Source organism: Homo sapiens, chromosome 22, assembly GCF_000001405.40.
Source record: "Homo sapiens chromosome 22, GRCh38.p14 Primary Assembly".
NCBI lineage: Eukaryota > Metazoa > Chordata > Mammalia > Primates > Hominidae > Homo > Homo sapiens.
Window position 1 is genome coordinate 32,778,837 of NC_000022.11, and position 27,976 is coordinate 32,806,812.

General features: G+C 47.2%; 2 protein-coding genes across 19 annotated transcripts in view; one reads left to right on the forward strand and one right to left on the reverse strand.

Annotated features, from left to right (window-relative positions):
• SYN3 (synapsin III) overlaps nt 1-27,976 on the reverse strand; it is a 550,562-nt gene that overhangs the window by 271,017 nt on the left and 251,569 nt on the right. The gene's annotated exons all lie outside the window — the stretch shown is intronic.
• TIMP3 (TIMP metallopeptidase inhibitor 3) overlaps nt 22,869-27,976 on the forward strand; it is a 61,337-nt gene continuing 56,229 nt past the window's right edge. Inside the window, exon 1 of the mRNA NM_000362.5 lies at nt 22,869-23,286. Coding sequence (NP_000353.1) covers nt 23,166-23,286 — 121 coding nt within the window. The 5' untranslated portion in view covers nt 22,869-23,165. The remainder of the gene's footprint in view (nt 23,287-27,976) is intronic.

Below are 27,976 nucleotides of genomic sequence, written 5' to 3' on the forward strand. Positions count from 1 at the left end.
TTACTATCAATAATAAAAACTGATTTGTAACACTTTGCTCCAAATAAATGAATATACCATTGTATTGGGTACTTCTCATTTCCTTTATTAATTTATTCCATAAATATTTATTGAGCACCTCTTACGTGCCCAGCTTGCCTTAGGCACTGGGGTTAGAACGATGGCTCAAGACAGACATAGTCCCTACCTTCATACTACTAGTGAGGAAGGCTGACATTAATCAAATAATCATCCAAATGAATGTAAAATGTAATGTAAATCCAAATGAATGTAAAATGTGATGTGTGGCCACAGAGGATTGATAGGAATGGTGAATGATGGATTTAAAATATGAAGCAACCAGCCGGGCATGGTGGCTCACGCCTGTAATCTCAGCACTTTGGGAGGCCGAGGTGGGTGGATCACTTGAGGTCAGGAGTTTGAGACCAGCCTGGACAACATGGCAAAAACCCATCTCTACTAAAAATACACAAATTAGCCGGGCATGATGGTACACGCCTGCAGTCCCAGCTACTCAGGAGGCTGAGGCAGGACAATCACTTGAACCTGGGAGGCGGAGGTTGCAGTGAGCCGAGATGGCGCCACTGCACTCCAGCCTGGGCAACAGCGTGAGATTCTGTCTCGAAAAACAAAAACAAACAAACAAATCTATGAAGCAACCATACAAGAGACATCACTAGTCACCCCTCATTAAGTTTCTTCCACAAACCAGATTGTCTCATTTAATCTTCGCTGCAACTCTCCGAAGCGGGCATTATTATTCCCACTTTACAAGAGAGGAAACCTTGGCTCTGAGCAGTGTAATGACTTACCCAGGGGCACTCAGCTGGCTAGTTGCAGAGCTGGGAATCAAACCCAAGCTGTGCTTTTCTCCCAAATGCCCAGTCTCCCCAGGGGATGCATGAATAGGAAAAACAGGACCTTACGTACTTTGCAGGTTACTACCGTGATGTCCTTGCTAGCGACTCCTCCACGCTTTAGTACCATCAAGGGTCCAGGTTGGGCAAGTACTCGAACCTCCATTCTGCCCTGGGATAACCTGGGCAGAAAAGCCAAACACAGCAGGGGAGCAGGAACAAAGCGCTCCCTTTTATGGTGAGGCGGTGCAAACCTCTGCATCTGCCTCCAGGCCTTGCCAAGGCCCACAGAGAAATGGCCTGCCCTAAAGATTGCAGTGAGCTGAGATTGCGCCACTGCACTCCAGCCTGGGTGACAGAGTGAGATTCTGTCTCAAAAAAAAAAAGAGAGAGAAAAAAAGAGAAAAAAAACAGAAATGGCCTGCCCTGACTGAGCCCGAAGCCTTCTGCCCTGATCTCTGCTTTTCTTTGTGTACCTGTCTGGTTACAAAGGAAGCAGCTGCCAGCTCACTGGTGTGGGACGCCATGTCTGGTCTGTGCTTTGCTGAACTGTGCTGGAATTTCACGGGCTGAAGCTGGCCCTGGGGGGTGCCGGGAGGTGAATGAGAGAAGTGTCTCAGGAGTGTTGTTCTGGGGGCTAAAATTACAGGTGATCGGACAACTGCTGTAGGAGATGGAGACAGAGCAGCACCTGAGTTGACTCTAAAACCAGAGGGCCTCTGTGCAGTGCGCTGTTGGCCGCTCTGGTTTCCTTTTCGCATCTCTGCAGCCCTTGGTATTTTCTACCTGTGTTATCAGAGAATCTCTGGCTGAGGACCCTGGAAATTTCTGCCCCCATCTCCACCCTTGGAAGCCTTTCCACAAAGAGCTTTGTAATTCACCAGGTGCCTTGCATATGGGAGGGATTACACCTTGACCTCAAATATTTGCTGTTTTCGTCACTGGCTCAGAGCCTGGGCACTGAAATAACACTGCATGGTTGGAATCCTGGCTCCCTGACTTACCAGCTGCATGACCTTGGACAATCTACTGAACTTCCTGTGCCTTAGTTTCTTTATCCTTAAAATGGAGGTAATAATAATATTAACCACAATGTAGGCTTGTTATTATAAGGATTAAATGATTTCATGTAGGTAAGGCACTTAGCAGTACCCAGCGTAATAAGCACTTAATGAGAGCAACTTGGTATTATTGCCTGCCTGCCTGCCTGCCTTCCTTGCTTCCTTCCTTCCTTCCTTCCTTTCCTTCCTTCCTTCCTTCCTTCCTTCCTTCCTTCCTTCCTTCCCTCCTTCCTTCCTCTCTCTCACCCCCTTCTTTCTTTCTTTCTCTCTCTCTTTTTTCTTTCTTTCCCCTCCCTCCCTCCCTCCCTTCCTCCCTCCCTCCCTTCCATCCTCCCTTCCTCCCTTCTTCCTTCTCTGCATCCCTCCTTTCAATAAACAAATCCTTTTAAATTGTATAAAGCCCTGGAACTACCAAGACCTGCAAGGCTCAATAGCTCGTAGTCTTGTCCAAGGTTCCACAGACAGAAAATGGACTCACTGGGAAGTGCCATCTTTTAGGAATTCACTCTTATCTGACTCCTCCATCATCCTCCCTCTCACCCTCATGGTGCCTAGCATAGTACCTTATAGAACAAGTACATCCTCAATAAATCCCTGAGAGCCTGAATAGATGATGGTGGTTAAGGACACAAAGCTTAGGGAGCAAGGCTATGTGGGTTTAAATCCTGACTCTATCACCAATAGGCTACATGGCCTTGGACGAGTTACCTAACCTCTCTGGGTTTCAGTTTTCCCCACCTATAAATTGGCATTACGATAATGCACTTACCCCACAGGGCTGGGCTCAGGCTTAAAGGAATTAATAATAAAATGTTTATATCAGTGCTTGGCACATAGTAGGTGTTACTTAGGTGTTTGCTATTATTATTATATTAGCAAACACCTAAGGAGGTGTTACTTAGGTGTTTGCTAATATTATTATTATTATTAATATTATTATTATTATTGTTGTTGTTGTTGATTGGCTGAGCTAGGGCTGAGACACAATTGCTATTTGAGAGTCTCCCAGTTCATTTTCTGATACTTTTCTCCTCCAGGACTGCCTTAGGATTCTTGGGCACAGAGAATTGGATTACTGAGTAGATTTACAGCAGACTATGCTTCTCCTCCTCCTTTTTCATTCTCTTACAAAACAGTTTTCTTTTTTAAACAGAACAGACAAGCAATGTCAAAGATTTCTTATTTCGCAATGAAGTTTTCCTTCCATGTGTTCTCCTCTTTCTATCTTCTCAGAAGGTTGTTTTTTCCCCTTCAGAACTTTTTTTCTGAAGGAAAATTCCATAGTAAGAAGGAAACAAAATAAGTTTCAGGCTCTGTAATTTTTTTTTTTTTTTGACAAAGTTTCACCTTGTCGCCCAGGCTGGAGTGCAATGGCATGATCTCGGCTCACTGCAAACTCTGCCTCCTGGTTTCAAGCGATTCTCTTGCCTCAGCCTCCCAAGTAGCTGGGATTACAGGCGGGTGCCACCACGCTCGGCTAATTTTGTATTTTTAATAGAGACGGGGTTTTACCATGTTGGTCAGGCTGGTCTCAAACTCATGACCTCAGGTGATCCACCCACCTTGGCCTCCCAAAGTCCTGGGATTACAGGCGTGTGCCACCACGCCCAGCTAATTTTGTATTTTTAGTAGACATGGGGCTTCACCATGATGACCAGGCTGGTCTCAAACTCCTGATCTCAGGTAATCCACCCACCTTGGCCTCCCAAGGTGTTGGGATTACAGGTAAGATCTACCACGCCTGGCCAGGCCTTGTAATTCTTTTTTTTTTTTTTTTTTTTGAGACAGAGTCTCGTACTGTCTCCTGGGCTGGAGTGCAATGGCATGATCTCAGCTCACTGCAACCTCCACCTCCTAGGTTCAAGTGATTCTTCCACCTCAGTTTCCCGAGTAGCTGGGACCACAGGCGCACACCACCACAGCCGGCTAATTTTTTGTATTTTTAGTAGAGATGGGGTTGCACCATGTTAGCCAGGATGGCCTCCATCTCCTGACCTCATGATCCGCCCGCGTCAGCCTCCTAAAGTGCTGGGATTACAGGCGTGAGCCACCGTGCCCAGCCCAGGCCTTGTAATTGTAGCAGAGGATTTGGCTTCCCTCAGCCTATGGATCTGCGCCCTGAAGGATGAACAGGAATTAGTGAAGCAATTCTCTATTGAGAAGGAGCAATTCTCTATTGAGAAGCAACTCTCTATTGAGAGGAGTTAGTTAAGCACTTCTCATTGAAGCTTCCCAGAGAGTAGTGAGACCAGAACCTGTTATTCCCATTAAACGGTATGGGAATTGAAGATCTGGGGAAGCCAGGTACTTAATCTTAGTCCACAGCAGAGAACTAAGCTCAATGACCCCCTTCTTATCTTTACTTAGCTTCTCGGACAGTCACTAAGACCGGGTTTCTCCTGTGCTTCCTCTCTTGATGCAGGTTTATATTGCCTGGATGCCTGACTTGGAAGTTCATGGTACAGTTCAGGGCCTTGAAACAGGTGAGTATGACAAATAACAGACCTGTGGCCTCAGTTGGAGAGACAATACAGAAGGCTGTCCACTGGGACGGGTTGGAGTACACTTGCTTCATCTAACCTGGACAGCATCTTCTAAGCCCCTGCTAAGTAATTCCTTGCAATGTGGGCCCGGAGCTTCTGGTTTTTCAGGAGAAGCTGGAAACTGGAATTACTGAAAATCTGAATTTTTCTGAAAGTTTGTGAATTACATTTTAAAATGCGGCATGAACCAAACACAAGGCATCTGTGGGCCAAATCCAGCCTTGAGATTGCTAGTTTTTACATGGTTTTTAATCTTCGGATTTAAGGGGGCTTAGAGGATGTCTTGTCCACTGTTCTTTACCATGCTGGAATCCCCTGTGCGCCGTCTCTGAAATACAGTTGTTCAGCCTCCAACTGAAATACCCCTGCTCTCTCCTGCTAGGAGTTTGAAATTCACCAGAACTCACAGTTTTACTTGCTCTTTATCATTATAAACCCCTAATCTACCACCTGGCAGCTTTTACCCTTTGGTCCTAGTGTCTTTTGGGGGAAACTAAACAAACCAATCTCATCTTTGGCACAAACCAATCTCATCTTTGGCATGAATTCTGCAGCCAAACTGCCTGGATTCGACTCCCAGCAATACTATAACTGTGTCGTGGTAGGCATGTGACTTGAACTATCTGTGCCTCAGTTTCCTTACCTGTAAAAAGGGGATGATAATGGTATTTACCTTACAAAGTTGGATGAGGTTTAAGTGAGCTAATATATTCAAAAGTCCTTGGAAAGGCAATATAAGTGTTTGTTATTTTTTCCTCTTTCTCAGGTTAAACTTTGCAAGTGCTTCCAACTATCTCCAGACCCTGTGTTTTCTGGGGCTTTTGTCATTCTCTCTACTCTGTTTGGAGGGTGAGCCAACGTGGCTCCCTTGATCCCTGACTCTTGGTATTCACAGCCTTGCCTAATTCCTCCACCTTGAGTGATGGTGGGGCTTGTGATATGCCTTTAACCAATAGAACATGGCGCAGGTGACAGGGCATATGCGATTATATGAATATGAACAATCATGTTACATGAGGCTGGAATGCCCATCTTGGGAGGAGGCACTTTTTCCTGCTGGCTTTGAAGAAGCAGGTTGCCGCATGGTGAGCTGCCTGTGGAGATAATCACATGGCAAGAAAATGAGGGTGAATTCCAGCTCACAGCCAGGTAGAAACTGAGGAACCAAATGTTGCCATCAATCAAGTGAGTGAGGAAGTAGGTGCTTCCTCAGTCAAGTTCCAGATGAAACTGCAGCCCTGGCTGACATCTTAGTTTCAGCCTTGCAGAGGAGCCAGCTAAGCCATGTCCAGACTCTTGTCTCACAGAAATCATGAGATAATAAATATGTGTTATGGTAAGCTGCAGAGTGTATGGCAACATTGTCATGCAGCAATACATAGGTAACTAACAACAATGGTAACTCTCCCTCACCTACCTTACTTTGGAAGTTCTCTACTTATGTCAGTGTCCTATTTAAAACAGAAGTTCTGGAAGAGAACAGCATATCGCAGCAGGCATTATTTGCACACTGCATGAGCTGTGGCCATAAAATAATGTTGCTGATTTTCTAATGGGCACGAGAGAACAAATGCATGCAAATGCTCCTGTTTATACCAGGGCAGGGCTTGAGCCCCAACTGTGCACAAAGCACTGGGCTGGATCTTCTGAGACAGAGGAGCCTTCTCTCCCCTTCCTGCCTCCAGGTATGATCACTTGGTACAAGTGATGGTGGCAGCTGATCTGTTTTCCTTCCTAATTCTCTTCCCTCTTTTGTTACTTTTCTTTATTGAAGAGGAGGCAGAGGAAGAAAAAAAAAAAGGACAAAAAAAAACCAGGTGAATGCATATAGTCTGTTACAGCTGGAGGGGATGAGAGGGGTCAGTCGGTGCAGCTCTGGGGTCAGTCGGTGCAGCTCTTGTTGTGGAGGGTTATACAGAGACTCCATGGCTCCTAAGTGATAGAGCCAGAGTTAGAACGTCTTTGACACTTGGCCCAGGGCTCTTTCCTTCAATTACAACTTGCCATTTTTTTCCTTGTGAGTACTAGGAAGTTGACACCATGCTTCCGGGTAGAGTCTTGGGTGTTACATGTTGTCAGAGGGTCCCTCGTACTTTCTTTTTGTTCTTGGCCAAAGGGATCCCCTTCTCTGAACCTCAGTCTCCTTCTCTGTAAGATGGAGTCCTGGGGGGCTGATGGAATAACACATGCTGGCTCCCAGCAAGTGGGAGAGAAGCACTTGGCTTGCTCCCATTAGTGTGTTCTTCTGCAAGGATTTCAAATGCTCGTGCATCCCACTGTGCATTCAAGTGTTGGGAAAACATTTATTGTGCCTGACATTTTCCCAGAGAGTGTTTTCTCAGATTAAAAGAAAGTAGTCAAACTTTCCCCTTCTCTGATTACCTTAACTGAAGGAGACCCTATATGCTCCACATCCCACAAGTTACTCTGTCTTATCATCTTCATTGCACTCATGGCCCGCTGAGATGGTTTATCCATCTGTTTCTGTGTCCACCAGGCCAACGCAAGCTCTCTCAGCTCTCAGAACAGGACTGTGTCTGTCTTGCTTCCTGCTCTGTCTCTGTACCCAGAACAGGGTCAGGCCTGGTGTAGGGGCTCAGTAAATAAAGCCTGAATGAATGACAGAACCTGTCTTGCTTTTGCCTATGAGACTTGGCCTGAGAAGAAGGAGAAATCCAAGGAATTCAAACCACTTCAAAGAAGAAGAAGAAGAAGAAGAAGAAAAAAAAAATACAGCATTCTAGCAAGATACAATCCCATTTACTTACTGCACACTTTCCACATCCCAAGCAGTGCTTGGCCCTTAGGGCTCCCATTTAATTGGGATATCTCATTTAATTTTCATATTTGCCGTATGAGGTGGGTGCTGTTAGTGCCCTTGTTTGTAGCCGAGGAAGCTGAGTTCCAGAGAAGCAAAATCTTTTGCATAAGAGCACACAGTGAGGTACAGTTAGGGTTTGGAATGCAGGCCTGTGTGCCTCCAGGGCTGAACTGCTCCACACTACAAAAGTTGATGGTGTCTTTATTTCTAGGAAGTACATATTGAAATATTCAGGGGACCAGGAGCATCATGTCTGCAACTTATTCTTTTTTTTTTTTTGAGACAGAGTCTCACTCTGTCACCCAGGCTGGAGTGCTCACTGCAAGCTCCACCTCCCGGGTTCACACCATTCTCCTGCCCCAGCCTCCCAAGTAGCTGGGACTACAGGTGCCCGCCACCACGCCCGGCAAATTTTTTGTATTTTTCATAGAGATGGGGTTTCACCATGTTAGCCAGGATGGTCTCGATCTCCTGACCTTGTGATCCACCCACCTCAGCCTCCCAAAGTGCTGGGATTACAGGCGTGAGCCACCACGCCCGGCCCTGCAACTTATTCTTAAACAACCTAAAGGAGGGGGGATTTAATAATATGTTAACATTTGGGGAATCTGGGTAAAAGGTATCTGGTAATTCTCTGAACTATTCCTGCAGCTTTTCTGTTAAGTGAATTATGTCAAAATAAAACATTTTCAAAAGCTCATGGTGGGAAGAAGATGAGACTCATGTCATGGGATGAAGGGCACAGGTCCTGCTTGGCTACAATAAAGAGGGGGAATGGGAGGCTGGGGCAGACTCTGGGGGCTGGAAGGACCAGGTTTCATCAGGGAGGCAGTGTTCAACACGGATAGGACCAGTGATGATACTCTGTCTTTAACCAAGTCTACCCATACTTCAGCATCCCGAATGTGCCAACTTCTTTTTTTTCCTTTCTTTTCTTTTCTTTTTTTTTTTTTTTTCCTCACTCTGTTACCCAGGCTAGAGTGCAGTGATGCAATCTCGGCTCACTGCAGCCTCCATCTCCTGGGCTCAAGTGATTGTCCTGTATCAGCCTCCCAAGTAGCTGAGATTACAGGTGCGTGCCACCACACCCGGCTAATTTTTGTATTTTTAGTAGAGATAGGATTTCACCATGTTGGCCAGGCTGGTCTCAAATTCCTGACCTCAAGTGATCCTCTTGCTTCAACCTCCCAAAGTGCTGGGATTACAGGCGTGAGCCACCGCACCCAACCCTTTCTACTGTTTTCTAGAGTAGCTGTCTGTGGGGGAAGGTTATATATATCCATCCTAAAATATATGCTTTCAGATCAGACAGACCTCAGTGACATCGCTTCCTATTGGTGCCCTTGAGCAAGTGATTTAACCTCCCTGAGCTTAAGTCTTCTCATCTGGAAAATGAGGATGATGATGTCTACCTCACTGGGTTGTTGTGAAGATTCACTATTTCAAAAAAATATTTACTGAGCCTTGATCTGGGATACCGGGGACAGAGCAGTGAATAAGACAGGCATCTTGCACTGTTTTCTTTGTGCAGCTAGAAACACTAATTGTTTAGAATTAAAGGACAATTAATAAACATTTTAATAAGTTTTTTTCAGATACTGATAAGCCCAGAAAAGAAAAATCCATGTGAAAAATGAGACCCTGGGAGGCTCCAGTGACTGGGGATGGCTGTGCTCCTCCGCTGCGGCACACCTCCCCGAGAAGGTAATATCTGAGCTGGAAGCTGCAGAATTAGAAGGATCTGACTGGCCATGGCAAGACCTGGGAGAGGCAGAGGGAGGGTCAGGGCAGTCCTGGAGCTGGGACTGAGTTTGGCTTGGTTAAAGGAGGAAAAGGAGGTCAGTGTAGTGTAAACACAAGTGAGAGTGGGAGAGACATGGACAGCCACAGCAGGGGCAATGCCACGCTGGGTCTAGAAGGCCAAGGCATTTAGACTTCAAGTGCATTAGGGATCCACCATAGAGTTTTGAGCAGAAGAGTAATATGATCTCGTTTTTTTTCTCTTGAAATCGGATAATCCAGTCAGCCCTCTGTATCTGTGGATTCCACATCGGGATTCAACCAACCGTGGATGGAAAACATTTGGAAAAAACAAACAATAAAAAATAACAATACGACTATATTAAAAAAAACATGAATTTGGCTGGGCGTGGTGGTTCACGCCTATAATCCCAGCACTTTTAGAGGCCAAGATGGACGAATCACGAGGTCAGGAGTTCGAGACCAGACTGGCCAACATGATGAAACCCCATCTCTACTAAAAATACAAAAAATTAGCTGGGCATGGTGGTGTACCCCTGTAATCCTAGCTACTCAGGAGGCTGAGGCAGGAGAATCGCTTGAACTCAGAAGGCGGAGGTTGCAGTGAGCAGAGATCGTGCCACTGCACTCCAGCCCAGGTAACAGCGCAAGACTCCATCTCAAAAAAAAAAATAATAATAATATGGATTTAAAAATACAGTATAACAACTACTTAGTATTTACATTGTATTAGATATTATAAGTAATCTAGAGATGATTTAAAGTATGTGGGAGGATATGTTTAGATTATGTGCAAATACTATACCATTTTATATCAAGGATTTGAGCACCTGTGAAAGTCCTGGAATCAATGTTATTAATACAGGACCTGAAACATGATAGATATTTAATAAAGAACAGCTTTATTATTGTTTATCATGACTTGGCATTGCCACTAGTCATTACGGACTTCTAGAAGGTGGGCGGCCTGTGCCTACCTTCATTCTAGAGGCATGCATCTTGGTGCACCCACCTGCCTGGGGAAAGGGGAGAGGAGTGGGAACAACTCGGGACACCTCTGACTTCCTTCCTCCTCCTTGCCACATGCTGCCCCCCCACCCCCAACAAGCCAGATGCCAGTCACCTCTGCCAGGCCAAGGGGCGGCCAGGGTAGGATTGCTGGGCCCCCCTCCAGCTGGCTCCGGCTCCAGGCCTCTGAGCCGCCTTCACTTTGCCTTAAAAATGCAAAGCATTCCAGCCATTTTAATTACTGGGCATTGCATAAGCCAGCAACCAGTTCATACAAAGGAGCAATAGACAAAAAAATGATTTTTCAACATGCCTTCAGCCTCTCCCCTTCTTTCCTCCTGAAATCAGCCCCCAATCACTGCCTCCCAGGCCTAGAAAAAGCACTCCAGGTATGCACAATCTCTTTTTGAGTTTGTTGATGTGACATCAAGGTCTTTTTTCTCTAAATACTTGAGGCAAAAAGCAGTTCCAGCCACCTTCAAGTGTTTTGGAAAGTTACCGATCATATTCCTACTTGACATGCTAAGACAATCAGAGGACTCCATATTATATACACTGAGAACTCTGATATAAAACAGAGTTCATTGTGCAGTGGGTCTGTCCAGGCACCAATTCAGGGCGCTTTCAGTTCTGGAATGACTTTACTATGGGGTACTCCTAAGAAATGAACCTCAAACACAATGTTCCAGCAATGCTTTTGTGTGGAGAATTATTAGTACTTAAATATTTATGTGATTGGGGAAGCTTCCATGTTTCCTAATTCTGATTTTTCAGTAGCCTCTAAACTGTTTTAACTAAATTTAATCCAAAAATTTGTTGAGGACCTACTGGGTATCAGTATTGGTTACGTTCTTGGAAGAGGAAATTCAATTAGCCCTGTCAATTAGCTCACTTTCTAAAGAGGGAAAGTTACACAGAAACTGACAATCCCAGTACAGGGTGATGAACTTCAAGTTAGGTCATCTCTGATGGGTGCTCCCAGCTTGGGTGGGAGGAAAGGCTACTTGTAGATTGTCTTAATAATATTGACAGTGACTATTCACTGATTGGCTGGCTCTGTGCCAGGAATTCTGCTAAACGCTTTCCACATATATCATCTTATTTATTCCTTGTAACTCTGTGAGGTAGGCGCTATTGTTGTCCCTGTATCACAGACGAGAATACGGAGGCACAAGAATGTTAAGTTACTTGTCGAAGGTCACACAGTTAAGAAAAGGCAGTAGTAAGCTGGTAAATATTTAACAAGTAGCTCTACAGTACAAAGAGCCCTCATTTGCAGTGTTTGCCAATTTCTGTGGTGTAAATACTTCCATCATAGCCAATTTTAAGTTACCAAGGTAATGTTCCTAAATGCAGTAGCACATCATTATATAATATTTCCACCATACAGAAACAACAGATGAAAGTTACCCTGAAAGCATAAATAAGAGTATACTGTAATAAACAATTAAGGAGTGAGGAGTTTCAAGTGTTCATTAATATAATTTATTAGTTATAACATTATATAATTAAATTAAACTTTATTTATTTATTTATTTATTTATTTATTTATTATTGAGACGGAGTCTCGCTTTGTTGCCCAGGATGGAGTGCAGTGGCATGATCTTGGCTCACTGCAACCTCCACCTCCTGGGTTCAAGCAATTCTTATGCCTCAGCCTCCCAAGTAGCTGGGACTACAGGCACGTGCTACCAAGCTTGGCTAATTTTTTGTATTTTTAGTAGAGACGGGGTTTCGCCATGTTGGCCAGGCTGGTCTCAAACTCCTGGCATCAAGTGATTCGCCTGCCTCGGCCTCTCAAAGTGATGGGATTACAGGTGTGAGCTACTGTGCCCAGCCAAAATTTTAAATAACGCCTATGTTTAATGACCGACCTGCAAATTCCCGAATGTATAACAATAGGCTCTGACAAGCCAGGGTGAGCCAGCTCCAGTGCAGCACTGGGGTCTCTAGAACCTTGCTCTTCACCATCGCAGACAAGTAATAGTAGCTACGAGAAAAGGTCAAGGGAACGGAATGAACAAAGACCTAAGATGTGACTACCGGAGAAAAGAAACACAATCACATTTAGTGTTCACAAAATCTTTTTAACTGATCACTAGAGTATTCAGAGATAGTGAGGAGTGCAGGATGGGACGCTGAACTTGGAAATCTCCACCACAGATTAACTGTGTAACCTTGGCTACATTACTAAACGTCTCTGTGCCCCAGTGTTCTTTTCCATAAAATGGGCATGATCATAACAGCCCCTACATCATAGAGTTGTGTGAATTACATACCTTTACACTTGTATATTACATAGAATAGGACCTGGCACATAGCAGCGCTCAGTAAATGTTAGTTACTTATTGTTTGATCTTTGCAGCTGCCTCTGTGAATTAGATGTTTGCCTTCGCTTTATAGGGATTCAATTTACGCTTAGAGAGCAATGCAGGAGGCTGGAGGAGATAGGACTCAAATGTTCTGATTCTAACTTCGGTGCTTACCTCAAGGGCTGGAAGGCATATTGACCTGGCTGAGTACTGTTCTCCAAGAGGGGCTGCCGACAAACTCAATGCCCTACTAAGTGTCACTTCTGATAGGGGCCATATCTAATTAATGGCTCCTCACCCTTGATTGGCGGGTACAGGCATTCTGGGAAGAAAGACCCATCTGGTTTCAGGAACTGGGCATCTGACCTTTGCATCCCTTCTTATTTTCCAAACGCTCGCCTTCTGCTTGAAGAGGCAGAGTGGTGGGGTAGTTAAGAGGATGGGCTCTGGCTTCCAATTCCAGCACGGCAGCATACTGGCGATGTAATCTTGAGTAAGTGACATAATCTCTGTGTACCTTAGTTTTCACTGCGGATGTGAAAAGGGATGGCAACGATGATCTCATCTACCTCATGGCTTTTGCTATAAGAACTGGTACAAATTAATATATGCAAACTGCCTAGAAGAATACCTGGTACCCAGTAGGCACTCTATAGGAATTAGTTATGACTATCAAATTTTTTTATTCTCTTTTGCCTCCTTTCTTCCATCCCTTCTTTGAGTATTAATTACAAGGTCAAAGGGGATATAAGCACATGCTCTTTCTTTATAAACACAGGTCACTAGACTATAGGCTACTTGAGGGCAGGGGCTGTTCTCATTCACCTTTATACCCCTGGGGCCACACCCTGGTATACACAGTCCTCAGTGAGAATTTACTATGTGCCAGGCACTGTGCCATGCATCTTATTCAGCTTACAGTGTTTGATCTTCATGAAAATCCTACGAGGTATGCATCTCTCCTCCCTTTTAGCACGAGACAGCTGAGGCTCAGAGAGAGGTTAAGGAACTTGTTCAAGGTCACAGTGAAAAAGCAAAGAAGGATAAAACTCAGACTTATGACATCACAGGCCTTCGTTGGTTCCTAACCTCCCTGTTGGGCTGCCTTCTAGAATATTCCATGGGAAATTTTGAGAGATCGTTAAATCCAACCCACTTGGTTTTACATTTAAAGAAAGGAGTCACTGATTTACTCAAGGTCACACAGCTATTTTATGTGGTAGGACTAGGATAATAACCTGGTATATTGCCTCAATCTCATGTTTGAAATTTCAGGAGGAAATGAAGCCAGGTTCATTAGCTGTTAAAATATACTGATGAGTATGCCACCAGCTTGCCTCTGGTTCTGGGCCCTATCTACGTAATACGAATGTAAATTTCCTATGGCATCTATCAAAATTTTGAGTAAGGAAGGGCACACCCGCACCCCTAGAAATTGCCTGCCAAGTCACTTCTCCTGCCTTCTCTCCATTGCAAACCAAATGAAACAGAGATGCATCTCACTTGCCTGCAGATAAAGCTCTCTCCCTGGTCGTCAGAGGTAGGTACTATGCTTTTCTCTGCTTGGCTGCATCAAGAGCTCTGAGCACTCAACGAGAACCCAAGAGACAAAGAGAAAATCACCAGTGCTGCAAATGCCCCAATGAACGTGTGGGCACATTGACTTTGAAGTCTTCAGGAAGAGTGCTGGTTTGGAAAGAGACCCCTGCATCTGAATCACAGCTCTGCCACTTCCTTGAGTGTAAGAAATTGAACATGCAATTTAACTTCTTTGAGCCTCCGTTTCCTTGACCATAAAATGGGCATAATACCATAGTACCTAGTACCTATTATTAAGGGTTGTGAGGATTAGTGGGACTACTGCATTGAAAGTGCCTTGTACATAGTAGGTATTCAACTAATGCCAAGTTCCCTTCTCTTTTACTCATCTTAGAAACATTTTTCAGCTTATCATTCCAAGGTTGACGAGTTGCAGAGCAGGGAGATGATTATTTATTGATTATCTCTCATGGGCCCAGCCTGAATTAGAGCAGCCTGGAGTGACGGGAAGATGATGAGGTACTAAGGAGTCTGATTCTTTGTTTGCTTCTGCCAATAATCTGGTGTCTACCTCTCTAGGCCTGTTTCTGTATCTGTAAAATGAGGGAGTTCAACTTGGTAACCCACAGCTCTCTCCTACTTCTGACCTTGTGTCTTACCATAATCTGAGTTCCTAAACAACTCCCTGCTGCCTGGTTGGATAGGTAGCTCTATGATCTCATGGCACACTTGACTATCCCACTGTAGTTCTTTCCACCAACTATTATTTTCTTGTGTTTTTCTCCCAGAAGACTGGGAGCTCCTTGGGAACAGTTCTATGCCTTGTTCACTGTTGTATCTTCAGGGCCTAGCATGGAGTAACAGACATTCTGCCAATGTTTGGTGAATATTTGAAGGAAGGAGGGAAGGAAGGAGAGGACCCTGCCCCTATCCTCCAAACACTTGATCATCACACTATGACACATAAGATGTGAGGCAAATGGAGAATGTCAGTGGAGAATTCATGATTAAGCACACACCCAGAACTTGGAAACAAGGTCATCTGTCTTACTGAAGCCATACATTCATGCACCATGCTTGTGCTTAGCCATCTGTGGTAATAAATCAAGACACAGCAAGGGCAGAGTTGAAAATCTGGGAATACCAGAGCCCAAACTAGTTGACCTGGGGGTAATCTTTGAATGGTGACTTGTATACTAAAATGTAGAAGCCAAATGAATTCCAATATTCCAAGTGCAAAGAAAGTGTTGGGGAAGAGAAGGATGGAGTGGCCAGCCTGGTGCTGAGAACCAAGAAGATCCAAGAGCCTGCAGTTGGCATTTGTGTGTCCAGCATTGTCCCTGTTCAGGAAGAGAGGCTTTGGCCAGTGGTTGTGAGCACTGGAATTTCCTCAGCAAAGCTTTTGCTTCCATGAAAAGGAGAATTCCAGGGTATCTCAGCTGAAAGACCCTTCCTATGATGCCCTCAATCCCTGTATTCTGAATCTACACACACCACAGCAACCTTCTGAGGAGAAACTAGCTTCATATTGAAGCTCTCTGTGACTATCAGGAGGAAAATATGGGGGTGGTGTTGACATGAGTCCTCTAGCCTATGTGACAATGAAATACCTCACGGGAAACAAGCCCAGTGGGATTTTGGTTGGTTTGCTGAGCTCTTAGGATCAGTCCGTGAGAATGATCAACTGAGGGAGCCTCATCTAGTTGAGTTTCTGGACCCAAGGAGCTGGATTCCAGAACCTCTGTTGGGGTGAATGTGTGACGGTGATACTCTGACTCCTCCTTTTCTCCACTCCATTCATTGGTTAGTTTATTCCTTTAATATTTGTTCAATGTCTACTATGTGCATATGATGTGTTAGGCAGTCACAGAAGCACCTGGATTTGCTCGATATCTAGAAGAGAACCAGGGATATCAACCACTAGGGGCAACAGAGTGTGCGAGGTGCCAAGCTGGAAGCCCGGAGGACCCAGTGTGGGTGGGAGGTGAGTGAGAGAAGAGGAGAGGCCTGAGAGGGGGTGGTCCATTCTGCTGGGGCAGAGAGAGGACCGGAAAATATTCACTAAGTGGTGACTCTAGCTGAATCCTGAAAGATGAATACGTGATTCCTGGCAGATGAGGTGGAGGAGGGTGGGGGAATATATTGGTGGCGGCTAGATTCCAGGCCAAGAGTGCATTGTGAACAAGGCTCAGAGAAACCGATAGCTGGAATATAAAGGGTTGGAAGAGGGCAGCATGGGTTTAGAGAGATAAGCAAGAACAGAGCCTGCTGTTGTATAACTGCAGGGGCAGCCATCTCATTGTATTCTATGTGAAGAGGGCCTCCTCCAGCTGTGGACCGTGGGGCCCTGGGGATGAGCCAGATCACAGAGGGCCTTGTTTGTCTTTGGAGCTTAAGACTTTGTTCAGAAAGCCACGGAGCACAAGTGAATCATTTCAAGCAAAGAATAGCATGTTTTCAGATTTATATTTTAAAAAATGTACAGAAGCAGCAATGCAAAGTTGAAGTTGATAGAGAAAGACTCTGGGGAGTGTAACCAATTATGTCACTATTGAAATTGTCAGGAAAGAATCCACAGGGGCCTGATCCAAGGTAGAAATGGTAAGAATGAGAGGAAGGGATGGTTAGAAGAGATGTGGATCATGAGACTCTATAGGACCTGGTGAGTGATGATGTCATCCTTCGGAATGGGTAACCCCGGAGGGGACTGAGGGGAAAAGACAATGAGTTTTGGACACCTGGAGTCCGAGGAGGCCATAGGATCTCTAGGTGAAATTGGGCAGGAGGAAGTTGGAGATAGAAGACAGGCAATCAGAGGGACACTGTTGCTTGCAGTGTGCACTCCGGTGCACATAGCATGGTAGCGACCATGGGGGTGCGTGGGGTAGGCCTGGGAGAGTGTGGAGGCTAAAAGGGAAGGGGAGAGAGCCAAGGACAGAAAATTGGGAAACAGCTACATTTTAATTTCAGGAAGAACCTGAGGAGTCTGCCAAGAAGACTGAGAAGGTATAGATGGAGAGGTAGAAAGCAGAATCCCAGAGAGAGTAGGGTCTCAGCAGCCAAGTTTAAAGAAGGATGCGATCAATGGTGTTAACTGCTCTTTGGACTGTCCCCACAGCACAGGACAAGACCATATCAGTTCCAGCAGGTTCCACTGAAGAAAGCTCATGTGCCTTGCAGAAACAAGACCTCCAGCCCAGTCTAACAGGAGACCAACCACATGTCCATCCCATTCCCTCCCAAGGCATGACAGCACCTGGCTGAGATGCTTGTGTGTATTCTCTGTGTGAAGCTGAGCATGCAACCTTCAAAGAAACCACAAAGGAGCTACTCGTTTTTAAAGGAAAAACACATGAACTCCACGGGCATAAGGAAGACATTAAAACAGGGTTGGGGAGAAGTTCTTCTCCTTCCATTTCATAGTACCCTTCACAGAAATAATTGACTGCTTGAATATATGGTCATTGAAACATACATACACACACATACATGCACATGAAAACAAGAGCTGGAATATTTGACTCTGCTTTCCATTTCCCACCACCCTAGATAACACAGGATACAACATGGCTTTACTGCACACATGTGTTTTCTGGCTTAAAAACACTGAGAGTAGATCCCTGTGGAAAGAAATATGAAAACCTGAGGATTCATGCGAATGTAGCCAGAGGCGAATGTAGCCAGAGGGGTCTTCAATTTGCTGGCAGAGCTGGGGGAGAGCTGGGGCAATTTTACTGCCATGAAATTGGCTCCAGATGGAGGCAAGGAAAGGTGTTTACCCCCTGCTGGTGCCAGACACAGAGAGATCCTGCAGTACCTCGCATCTTAGGCTCAGAATTGCCCAGTGCTGGGCAGCAGCCCCACTGAGGGTCTGGCCAGAGCTCATGGGGATGGGTGGACCAGGCTGTCTGTTGCTTGGAAAAGGCCATTTTGAATATAATGACTTTCACATGGACGGTGGGGCTTGGGGGAAGGCATCGTGGCTAGGGTCTGGAGGGGAAGAGGGAGGAAAGCAAAGAGGAGCTTCCCTATGAGGCAACAGAAATGACAGTACCTTCTCCAGGTTGAATTTCCAAAACCCAGCTCTGCCCTGGAAGACTGGGACTGTGGCATCCTCTGCAGTGTTCCCAGACCGCCCTAAGGCCCCCAAACCAATGATTCACAACTATGTTGCTTCCCCAGAGAGCATCTCCCCCTTTGGTTGACATGTGGCCAGCTCAGGGGTGGAGGAGCTCCGGCAGCCACGAACCCAGACGGGATGTTGACTGAGAGCTTTGTGGCCATGGCAGATGGGAGGGGTGAGCTTCACCCACTCAAAGGCACCCGCACCCCACCGATGAGTGTGGAATTGTGCTCTCCCGCCCTCGCAGTGAGACGACCGACCAGGACTGCAGGCTGAGCAAATGGGTGTTCTCTGGCTTATAGCGCCCCCTAGCACCAGCCAGCGGGATAGAGCTCCGTGAACTCTCCAAGGAGCCACCACCTGCCTGTCTGAATGCTGGAAAGGGGTCGGTGGTGCTGATCATTGGACCCATTCAACCAATACTTATTAAACTCGTTGTTACCAACACTTAATCCCTGTGTTCTAGGGGCTTAGACTCCAGCAAGGGAAACAGATGGGTAAATAATCACATTAGAGTCAGCTAAGTATTGTCAAAGAAGTTGATACAGGGTGTTGTGGGGATACATGGGAGGGGAATCAGAGGAGGTTTCCCGGAGGAGGTGACATCTAAGCTGAGGTCTGAAGGATGTGGAAGAGTTCAGTAACTCCTGAAGACCAAAAAAATGGTGATAAAAAAGACACCTTCCTAACTTTTTAGTGCTACGATCCAAGAGACAAACAAGCAGGTGAACGCATAACTACACTGGGCTCCACCATAAGCCAGAGCCTGTCTCTCCTAGGACTTTGGCATCACAATCTTCTCTGAAATTCTGTTTTCGGCATTGATTCTTGGGGGAGGTAGCAATATAGGAACTCAGTGTTCGTTGCGAAACTGATGGATGGTCTTCAGTCTTGGGTACGTTCCCATGTGTCAAACCTGTTTAAATGGCAGGACCCATCTCCCCTTCAGAAGCATTCACTTGTCCTACAGGATTCCCCATGGAATCTTGGAGTTTTTGAGGCGAGAGGGATCCTGGATACCACTGAGTTCTATCTTTCATCCAATAAACACAGAAGTGGACGCCTGGACAGGCAAAGTGACTTGACCAAGGCAGGTGCACAGCTATTCTGCAACATTGGGAACAAATCTCAGGTCTTTTGATTTTTTGTTTCCACTTTACTCTCTTTTCATTTCCCAGAAACAAAGTTTTCATGTGCTTTTTTTTATAGTGATATGTTTGGAATGCATTAGCTAGTAATTTAGGAAGGGAAAAAAATAAACACACAAGAGATAAACCTGTCAGGAGGACAAACCTGTATTGCTTCTGATTGGCTCAGAGGGTGATTATTATCATGGTAGAGAATTATTTAATCAGTGTAAGTAAAATTTCTCTGTGGGCTGGGCACTGTACAAAGACTCAAACGAATCTGTCTACAGATCTGAAAAGCAGATACGAGATCTGTGAATGGCTGGGGTTTCCAAGCCCACAGTACAAGCATGGGCCACACCTTACAGCTTGGAGGACTGAGCCCTGAAAATGGGCAAGTTCCTTCACTTCTCTGAACCTTATTTTTCCCACATTTAAAACAAGGATGAGTAGTTTCTGAGGTCCTTTTTACGACTTCTCTTCCTACAGACTCTAGCATCCTATAACTTGATACAAAGAGGGTGGATATGAACTCACCTTTCCTAGAAAAGTTCCAGGAAAGAGAATACCAGGTCATCCTAGTAGGTGTGTAGACAGGCCAGATAGATCTTGAAACTTACTCAGTTCTTCCCAGATGTATAACTCTATCATTGTTCTTAGCTGTCAAGAGAAAGCAGGAGAGCCTGCATCTTCATTCTTTTTTTTTTTTTTTTTTTTTTTGGAGACGGAGTCTCACTCCATCACCTAGGCTAGAGTGCAGTGGCATGATCTCAGCTCACTGCAAGCTCCGCCTCCCAGGTTCACGCCATTCTCCTGCCTCAGCCTCCCAAGTAACTGGGACTACAGGCGCCCACCACCACACCTGGCTAATTTTTTGTGTTGTTAGTACAGACGGGGTTTCACCATGTTAGCCAGGATGGTCTCGATCTCCTGACCTCGTGATCCGCCCACCTTGGCCTCTCAAAGTGCTGGGATTACAGGCGTGAGCCACCGCACCCAGCCTGCATCTTCATTCTTACTGTTAGCCTCAGGTTCACCCCACCTAGCTTATTAAGTGATGTTGAATAACCAATTCTTACATATTATTAGGCTCATGGACACCATGACATCCAGACTGATGGGTGCCTGCTGAAGGGGGTGACCCTAGCAGGAGGACTCCCCTACGCAAGGATTCATGGAGTTTGCTGTTTCTTTTCCTTAGGGTGAGAACCAAACTGCCTTCACACGGTGGGCAGAGGGGAACTGACTCAGGTTTGGAATAAGAGAGAACATCCCAACTGAAAAGCTCTTGGAATTCGCTGAACTTCAAGACACTGTGTGGACCAGCTTAGGATAGGGAGTGAGAAGAAATTAACCAAAAGGTAATTTCGTTACTTTTCAGCTGGAAAAAAGATCAGATTATACTTGTGCTTTCATAATTAAGTAGCTGCTGGAAAAAAACGCTTCAGATGCTTTCTATGAGAAAACTGCTGCTTGAAGTTCAGCAGAAGTTATCTACTTGATACTTATATTCCAGGCAAGGCCTTCCGTTGGAGAAAATATCGGCACTTTGGACAAAACTGAAATGTGAAAAGAAAGGGAAGAGAGGGCCTCTATCATGTAAGATGCTTATCCAAAGTGGATTTGGTCTGGAAAGTCTTCTAAAACCTTCCACATGACTGTGGAATAAGTCATGTGGGGCGCGGGGATAAGCGAATCTCTCAAATTCCACCACGTATGCCCTCATTCAACCTGGATCCTTAGAGTGGCCTCCAGGGCACTCTGCTCAGGACTCAGTCAGCTGTTGGCCACACCCATGCTCTCCAGTCTCCTGAGACCCTATTTGGTTCTGAGAGGGCTAAAAAGCAGTGTGGCTAAATATCCCAGGCCTCAAAGTATTCCTACTGTGGTTGGGGAAGCAATAGAATCATACCCCATAAAACAATGAAAACAGTGCTAGAAAAACATCGAGAGACAGAAACATCTCTACGAGTTAGGCCACAGTTAGAGTGAAGGCAGGGAAGGTTTTTAAAGCTGGGTGGAGGGGACAAGTCAAAAAGATGTGGAAACTGGTTTCCCTTTCCTATGGCTAAAGTGCTCAAAGGGGAAAAAGGAGTTTCAAAAATGTTCTTGGAAATACCATCTCTCACGAATTCTTCGGCCTCTGCTGTCCCAATGTCACTTGTCTGAGATGTAAACAGAGGAGTTCTGAGAAAGAAGCTGAACTTGCATTTCTCCCTGTTTCTATTTGTTCCAAACTTGTGGCATTTCTAACAGGATGAAGCGGAAGAGAAAGGGAAAGAGACAAAAGTGTAGAAAGATGGAAGATCCCAGCTGCAAATGGCCATTTGCAGTTAGATGGAACAGCTGCTGACGTTCAGGGAAATGCATGTCTCTCTTCAGATGGGAAGGAGCAGTGGAAAGGGGTGACGAGTTCCTGGCTGGCCACCAATCATCCCATCTTTCTGTGCCGGTTCCTCATCTGGAAAGTGGGAGTGATACTTGTGCTTGCTTTTCCTACCCACAAAGATTATTGTGAGAGCTATAATACGGTGAGATACAGAATCCTGCTTTTAAAAATACAAAGCAGAATCAAGATGTCAATAATAAGGATAGTAATTGTGTTAGTTATCTGCAATCATCTATTATAGCTAGTCGTCTAGGATCCTGGATCGTTCTCCTGGTTTTACTACAGTTTTGGATCAGCTCACCCCCAAATCCCTTGCTGAAGGGTGGAGCTCTGTCAGCCATGGGCAGGGAACCACTTCCTCTTGCCTTTCTACTTTCTGTCTTTCAAACATGCCCAGGGTCTTTGCACTTGCTGTTCCCCCTGCCTGGTACCTCTCTCCTGTGGCTTGCCCCAGAGCTGATCCTTGTCTTTGTCCACTTCTCAGCGAGGATGGCACTTCAGGGAGCCCTTCCCTTACTATCGCAGAGAGAGCAGGCCCTCCCCAGTCATGTCCAACCCAGAACTCTGTTTTGTTTTCTTCATAGCCCTAGCATCACAGAAAATCACCCTGTGCATTCATGGATGTCCACGGGGGCAAGGGCTTTGTGTTGCTTAACCCAGCATCCTGAACCGTGTTTGTTGAATGAATACAGAACCCCGTTTGCTCTGGGAGAGCACAGAAAACAGTCTTCTATCATATATCATAGCCAGCTGCAAACAGCAGATGGCTTCCCATATCCCAGAGAGTAAGAACCAGAGAGAGAGAGAAAGAGAGAGAGTTTGGGTCTTTCTCCTCTGTGCCTGCTCTCTCCAGAGAAACTGGAGGGGTAGCAGTTAGCATTCCCCCGCTGGTTCCACCAAGCACAGTCAAGGTCTCTAGGACATGGCCACCCCTCACCTGTGGAAGCGGTCCTGCTGGGGTGGGTGGGTGTTAGTTGGTTCTGGTTTGGGTCAGAGACACCCAGTGGCCCAGGTGGGCGTGGGGCCAGGGCGCAGACGAGAAGGGGCACGAGGGCTCCGCTCCGAGGACCCAGCGGCAAGCACCGGTCCCGGGCGCGCCCCAGCCCACCCACTCGCGTGCCCACGGCGGCATTATTCCCTATAAGGATCTGAACGATCCGGGGGCGGCCCCGCCCCGTTACCCCTTGCCCCCGGCCCCGCCCCCTTTTTGGAGGGCCGATGAGGTAATGCGGCTCTGCCATTGGTCTGAGGGGGCGGGCCCCAACAGCCCGAGGCGGGGTCCCCGGGGGCCCAGCGCTATATCACTCGGCCGCCCAGGCAGCGGCGCAGAGCGGGCAGCAGGCAGGCGGCGGGCGCTCAGACGGCTTCTCCTCCTCCTCTTGCTCCTCCAGCTCCTGCTCCTTCGCCGGGAGGCCGCCCGCCGAGTCCTGCGCCAGCGCCGAGGCAGCCTCGCTGCGCCCCATCCCGTCCCGCCGGGCACTCGGAGGGCAGCGCGCCGGAGGCCAAGGTTGCCCCGCACGGCCCGGCGGGCGAGCGAGCTCGGGCTGCAGCAGCCCCGCCGGCGGCGCGCACGGCAACTTTGGAGAGGCGAGCAGCAGCCCCGGCAGCGGCGGCAGCAGCGGCAATGACCCCTTGGCTCGGGCTCATCGTGCTCCTGGGCAGCTGGAGCCTGGGGGACTGGGGCGCCGAGGCGTGCACATGCTCGCCCAGCCACCCCCAGGACGCCTTCTGCAACTCCGACATCGGTAAGCGCTCCTGGTGCCCCGCCCGAGCCCCACGCTGCAGCCAGGACTGCAGCGCTGCTTAGGGAGGCAGGGCGAGCCCCACTCCTTTCCTCTGCCCCAGGAGAGGGGCAGACGGGGTTGGGGCGGAGTGGAGAAACTCGATGTCCTTGGGCGGGGGCGCTGGCATAGCTGAGAGGGGAAGATGCCCTGCAGAGGAAACTCACAGTGGCTGAGGGAGCCCCTGGCCGCCTTTGCTTTCCTAACTTAGGTCGTGAGGTTCCTACCGGTCCTTTTGACATCTGGAAAATGTCCCCATTCACTACTAACGGAGGAAGGGCTAGAAGAGAAGGGTGGGGAAAGGGTTCCCAAAACTTGGAATGCTAACTAAAGTGCTGGGAAATTGAATAGTTAAAAAAAAAAAAAAAAGTTGCCCGCCATGTGCACGGAAAGTTGCAGGAGAAACTTGGAGTACTCCGAGTCTGCATCATCTCCTGCGCCTATGAAATTCATTCTTTTCACTGAGACCCAACCCAGCTGCAGGCTTCCCAGGCAAGCGCTAACCGAGCTTCTGGGACTGCCAAGTTTGGGTGGATTTAAGGGGGAAAATGAGGAGAAAGCTGTGGCATTGACCCACGCCCTGGAGGCACTGTGTTTGAGAGTGTTGATAGCCAGCAGAAGGTGCGAGGGGTCACTCACCACATAGCTGTGAAAATTCACAGGAAGGCTATTTTTTTCCCCCTTGAATGTGTGTGGGGAGGGGGAGAATGGGTAGTGGAAAACAGATTTGTCACCAAAAGAACAAACCTGCCAAGGGTCACATCACGGTGACAGTTCCAGACTGGACTTAGTGTCTTGAGTAGAGAGACCCTGTAAAGAGACCTCCTACTCCTTAGTGTGTATGGAGGGCCCCGAGAGCATCCTGGGAGGCTTGTCTGGGAGTGTTTGGGACACTTGTGTTTGGATGGCTAAAGGTGGAGTGGCATCTGGGAAACATCTCTCTCCTCCTTTCCAGCCCATAAAGCGTGCAAGTCCAGTGGCTCTGCTGGGAGAGTGTGTGTGTGTGCACTGGGCTGGGCTGGGCGGTGGGGTGGGACAGCCTTGCCGCCCTCTGCCTGTGTCGATTCAGAGGTGAAGAATGGAGCGTGTGTGTTTTAAGTACAGTCATAAAGGAGAAGGAAATTTTCCACTGAGTCTTGGGTGAGGGACTCTACCAGCGTGTTGTGGTGAGGAGGGGGAGGAGGTAGGAGCTTGGCAGGGGAGGCAGTGAGGGCCGGGAGGGGCACTGCTGGTGGGCTGGGCTGAGCCTAGAGGTCAGAGTGGGGGTGTGGTGACCAGAATGTCAGTGCAGTTGGCAGCTGAGGGTGTTTGTGTGACCTGAGGTCACCCTTGTAAGAGGCTCCCTGGGGCCTGCATGGTACATCCTCCCCTCTCCTGGGGGAACCCAGCTGGCCCAGGATTTGTGGATTGCTTAGAAAGATCCTTTTGGGCAGCCTGAAGACTGGGGAGGGTTTTCCTCCCTCCTCCACCTCCACCCACATTCCACTTACCCTTTCCCTCCTCATCCCAGTTGGTAACATTCCCACCTGATTAGTGTGGGGAGTTGCTGCTGCAGCTGAGTTCTGGTTTTGCCCAGCAGGATCACACACGTGCGGCCAGGAGGCTGGCAGGTGGAATCAGGGTGTGCAGGGGTGCAGCCCAAGTCCTTTTCTGCTGGAAAATGGGCTGGGTGACTTCACTTGCGTTTTTTTGGTATGTAGTGGGAGTAGGTCCCCATTCTTCCCCCTTGCCCTTTGCTTTGGGGTTTCTACCCTAAAAATTGACCACGGAAAAGTGAAAACAAGCATGAGTAGATCCTGCTTCCAATGGGGGCCTTCCCGTCTGCTTACTGCTTAGGTTTCCTGCGGTGGGTCTGAGCAATGCAGAAAGTTTCTTACAATTTCTCTGGATTGAAACAAGAAATAGCTCCCTCGCTCCTCTTCATAAATTTCTCAGAGAAAATCTAAGTTACCAGGAAGTAGCCAAAGACCAGGAGATTGTGGAATCAAAAAGAAAAAAAGAAACAAAAAATCTTCGATGCTCTGGCACGGATCCCAAATTGTTCTGCCTGGGTTTGGTGAGCTGCACTAGTGGCAGGGATGAGCTAATGCTTTTAAAATGGGAGGTGTGGGTGTGAGCTGCTTGCCTGCCGACCTCCCTCGCCTTGCACAGCACCCTGCTGGCGTCCAGTACTTGGCTCCCAAGTTTCATTGCTCAGAGCCTTTCTGGTTTCCAGTCTGGGTTGAAACTGTCTATTCTCGCCCTCAAACAAATATGAAGGAGCTCCCCATTCCTTGGGACCCACACAACCCCACCAGTCAACTTTGTAGCCCCCTAAAGGTGTTCACATCAGCCCATCAACTTCCTGTTTTAAAACCATCATGGTGGTTTTCTCTTCATGGCTTGGTGCCATGTTGGCCTAGCAAAAGGCACAGGAGGCCTGGCCTGGTCCTCTCCGGGGGGCTGCCCGATGGCCTTTCCTCCTGTCTCTGCTCATCCACAGGTGTCTCTTTTTGTCTTTTTTCCCCAAAGTCCTAGGGCCTGGCATGGCATTCTGGGGGAGGAGGAGTTAAAAGGTGTTTCTATGGCAACTCCAGGCCCTGCACCCTATGGAAGTGTTTAGGAGAAGAATAAACTACATGCCGGCTTATAAGACACACTGTGGGGGAAAGAAAGGGACTTGGCAGCAGGCAGGATGTCTGTGGTCCCCCTCCCTGGCCAGTCATTGCCCCTGAAACTCCTGACAAAACCTTGACTCTAGAAGAGGAATGGGAGGGGGCTGGAGATGAAGAAGGCGGCCTCGGCCCGGGCAAATCTGCCCTGGCAGCTCTGTCCAGCTCAGGAAGGGGTGGGCTGTGCCAAGGGCTTTCTGAAAATGTGCGTGTGTGCGTGTGTGTGTGTGTGCGCGTGTGTGGCTTCTGCAAAGGTGGCTGGCAGGGCTGAGGGGGGTTGCAGCAGAGAAAGAGAATTTTGCTTCAGAATGCCAAGCCCTTCTCTCCTTCTCTCTTGCCGCCTTTGCATGGGAGGAATGGGGCTGTAGGATGAAGTGTGTTCGGGGCCTGCCTCTGAGCCTGTTGGGAATTTGAGCATGAGGCTCAGCTGGGGGGCCGGCTGCCAGCCCCAGAGGATGGCCCCTGGATAGCTCCAAATTGTTCTGACAGGGGCCAGTGCCAGCAGATTCTTTCAGTATCAGATCTGAGGTTGTCGTTTTAGCAAAGAAGCCATTTTCAAAGAAACCAGATCCATCCCCTCTCCCTCTTACACACAATTACACCTCAACACTGGGCTTTGCAACTTAAGGAAAATAGAAAGAATCAGACTTTGGAGAGGCGCCAGCACTTGGTAGGGCAAGTCTGGGGGACCCAGGCTGTGGATGTCTTGGAACCATGGAAGGAGGAGAGCTGCTATCCAGCTGGAGGAGGGAAGAGACATGTCTTAGGCCCCTCCTGGTTGCACGCACTTCCCAAATGCCATCTCTTTCACCCCCTCCCCCGACCCCCCACAGCAACCTTAAGAGTAGGTATTGCACCCATTTTTCAGATGGAAAACACTGAGGCTGAAGAGACTGTGCTTGTCCAAGGCCACCCAGTTGCTAAATGATAAAGCTAAAACGTATTATCAGTTATACCATGCTTCAAAAACCTTTCAACTTTCATTGACACATGACATTCTAAGGTGACCAGGAGATGGAATGGATGGTTAACATTTGAAGAATGCTTTTCTTCTACATCTGGGTTTTCTTTAAAAATATGAAGATAGCCAAAATGGCCAGAGGTTTTAATTAAACATCATCTTTAGGGAGGGAGAGCTTATTATTATTCTAGTGTATCATAGAGGAAAATTCTAATGTTCTTTGGCTATTAGATCTGGAAAAGACCCTTGAAACCATCAAGCCACAGTAATAAAAGGACTTGGTTTGTCTCACTGTGGCCCAAGGAGAAGTAAGGTTAATAGAGACAAGACATTTCAGGGCTTCAAGACTCTTCCCTTAAAGGTGGGATCAGTTAGGGCTCCCCAGTGGGAGGTACCCGGTCTGCCAGTGTGGTAGGAGGAAAGCCAGGGGGAGTCAGGAGACTGGGTCCCAGCTGGAGAAGGTGCCCCTCTGACAGTTCTGTGTCCCTTTCACAGTCCCTGGATAGATAAGGCTAGAAAAGTGGCCACAGAAGTAGCTTGGGTGGAGGGATTTTTGTTTGTTTTGCATGAACAGCAGGAACCATTCAGCTCCACTGCTGAATGGCACATTCCAACAGGTTCATTAATTAAAAACAAAAACAACAACACGATTCTCCATCGCACTTGGCTTTTACCATTCCAGCCAGTATGGACAAGGAGGCCCCTTCTTCTACCTTTTGTCATAGTCTACTCCTGGGTGGCCTTGAGAGGCAGGGTGGAGTGGTGGAAAGGCAATGGGGAGGGCAGATCTGAGCTCCACTCCTTCCTCTGGGGCTTGTTGGCTGTGTGTGCCTAGGCACATATGGGCTACCTTTGAGCTTTAGTTTTCTTATTTATACAAGGGGAATAACAATTTGTACCATCTTGGCCTGTTTTATCTATATTTTAAAAGCTACAAGTATATGAATACATTCTATGTCCATGTATGTATCTCTCTGTATATCTATGATATATCCATTTCTATTTATCATTTATCATCTATCTATCTATCTCTCTATCTAAA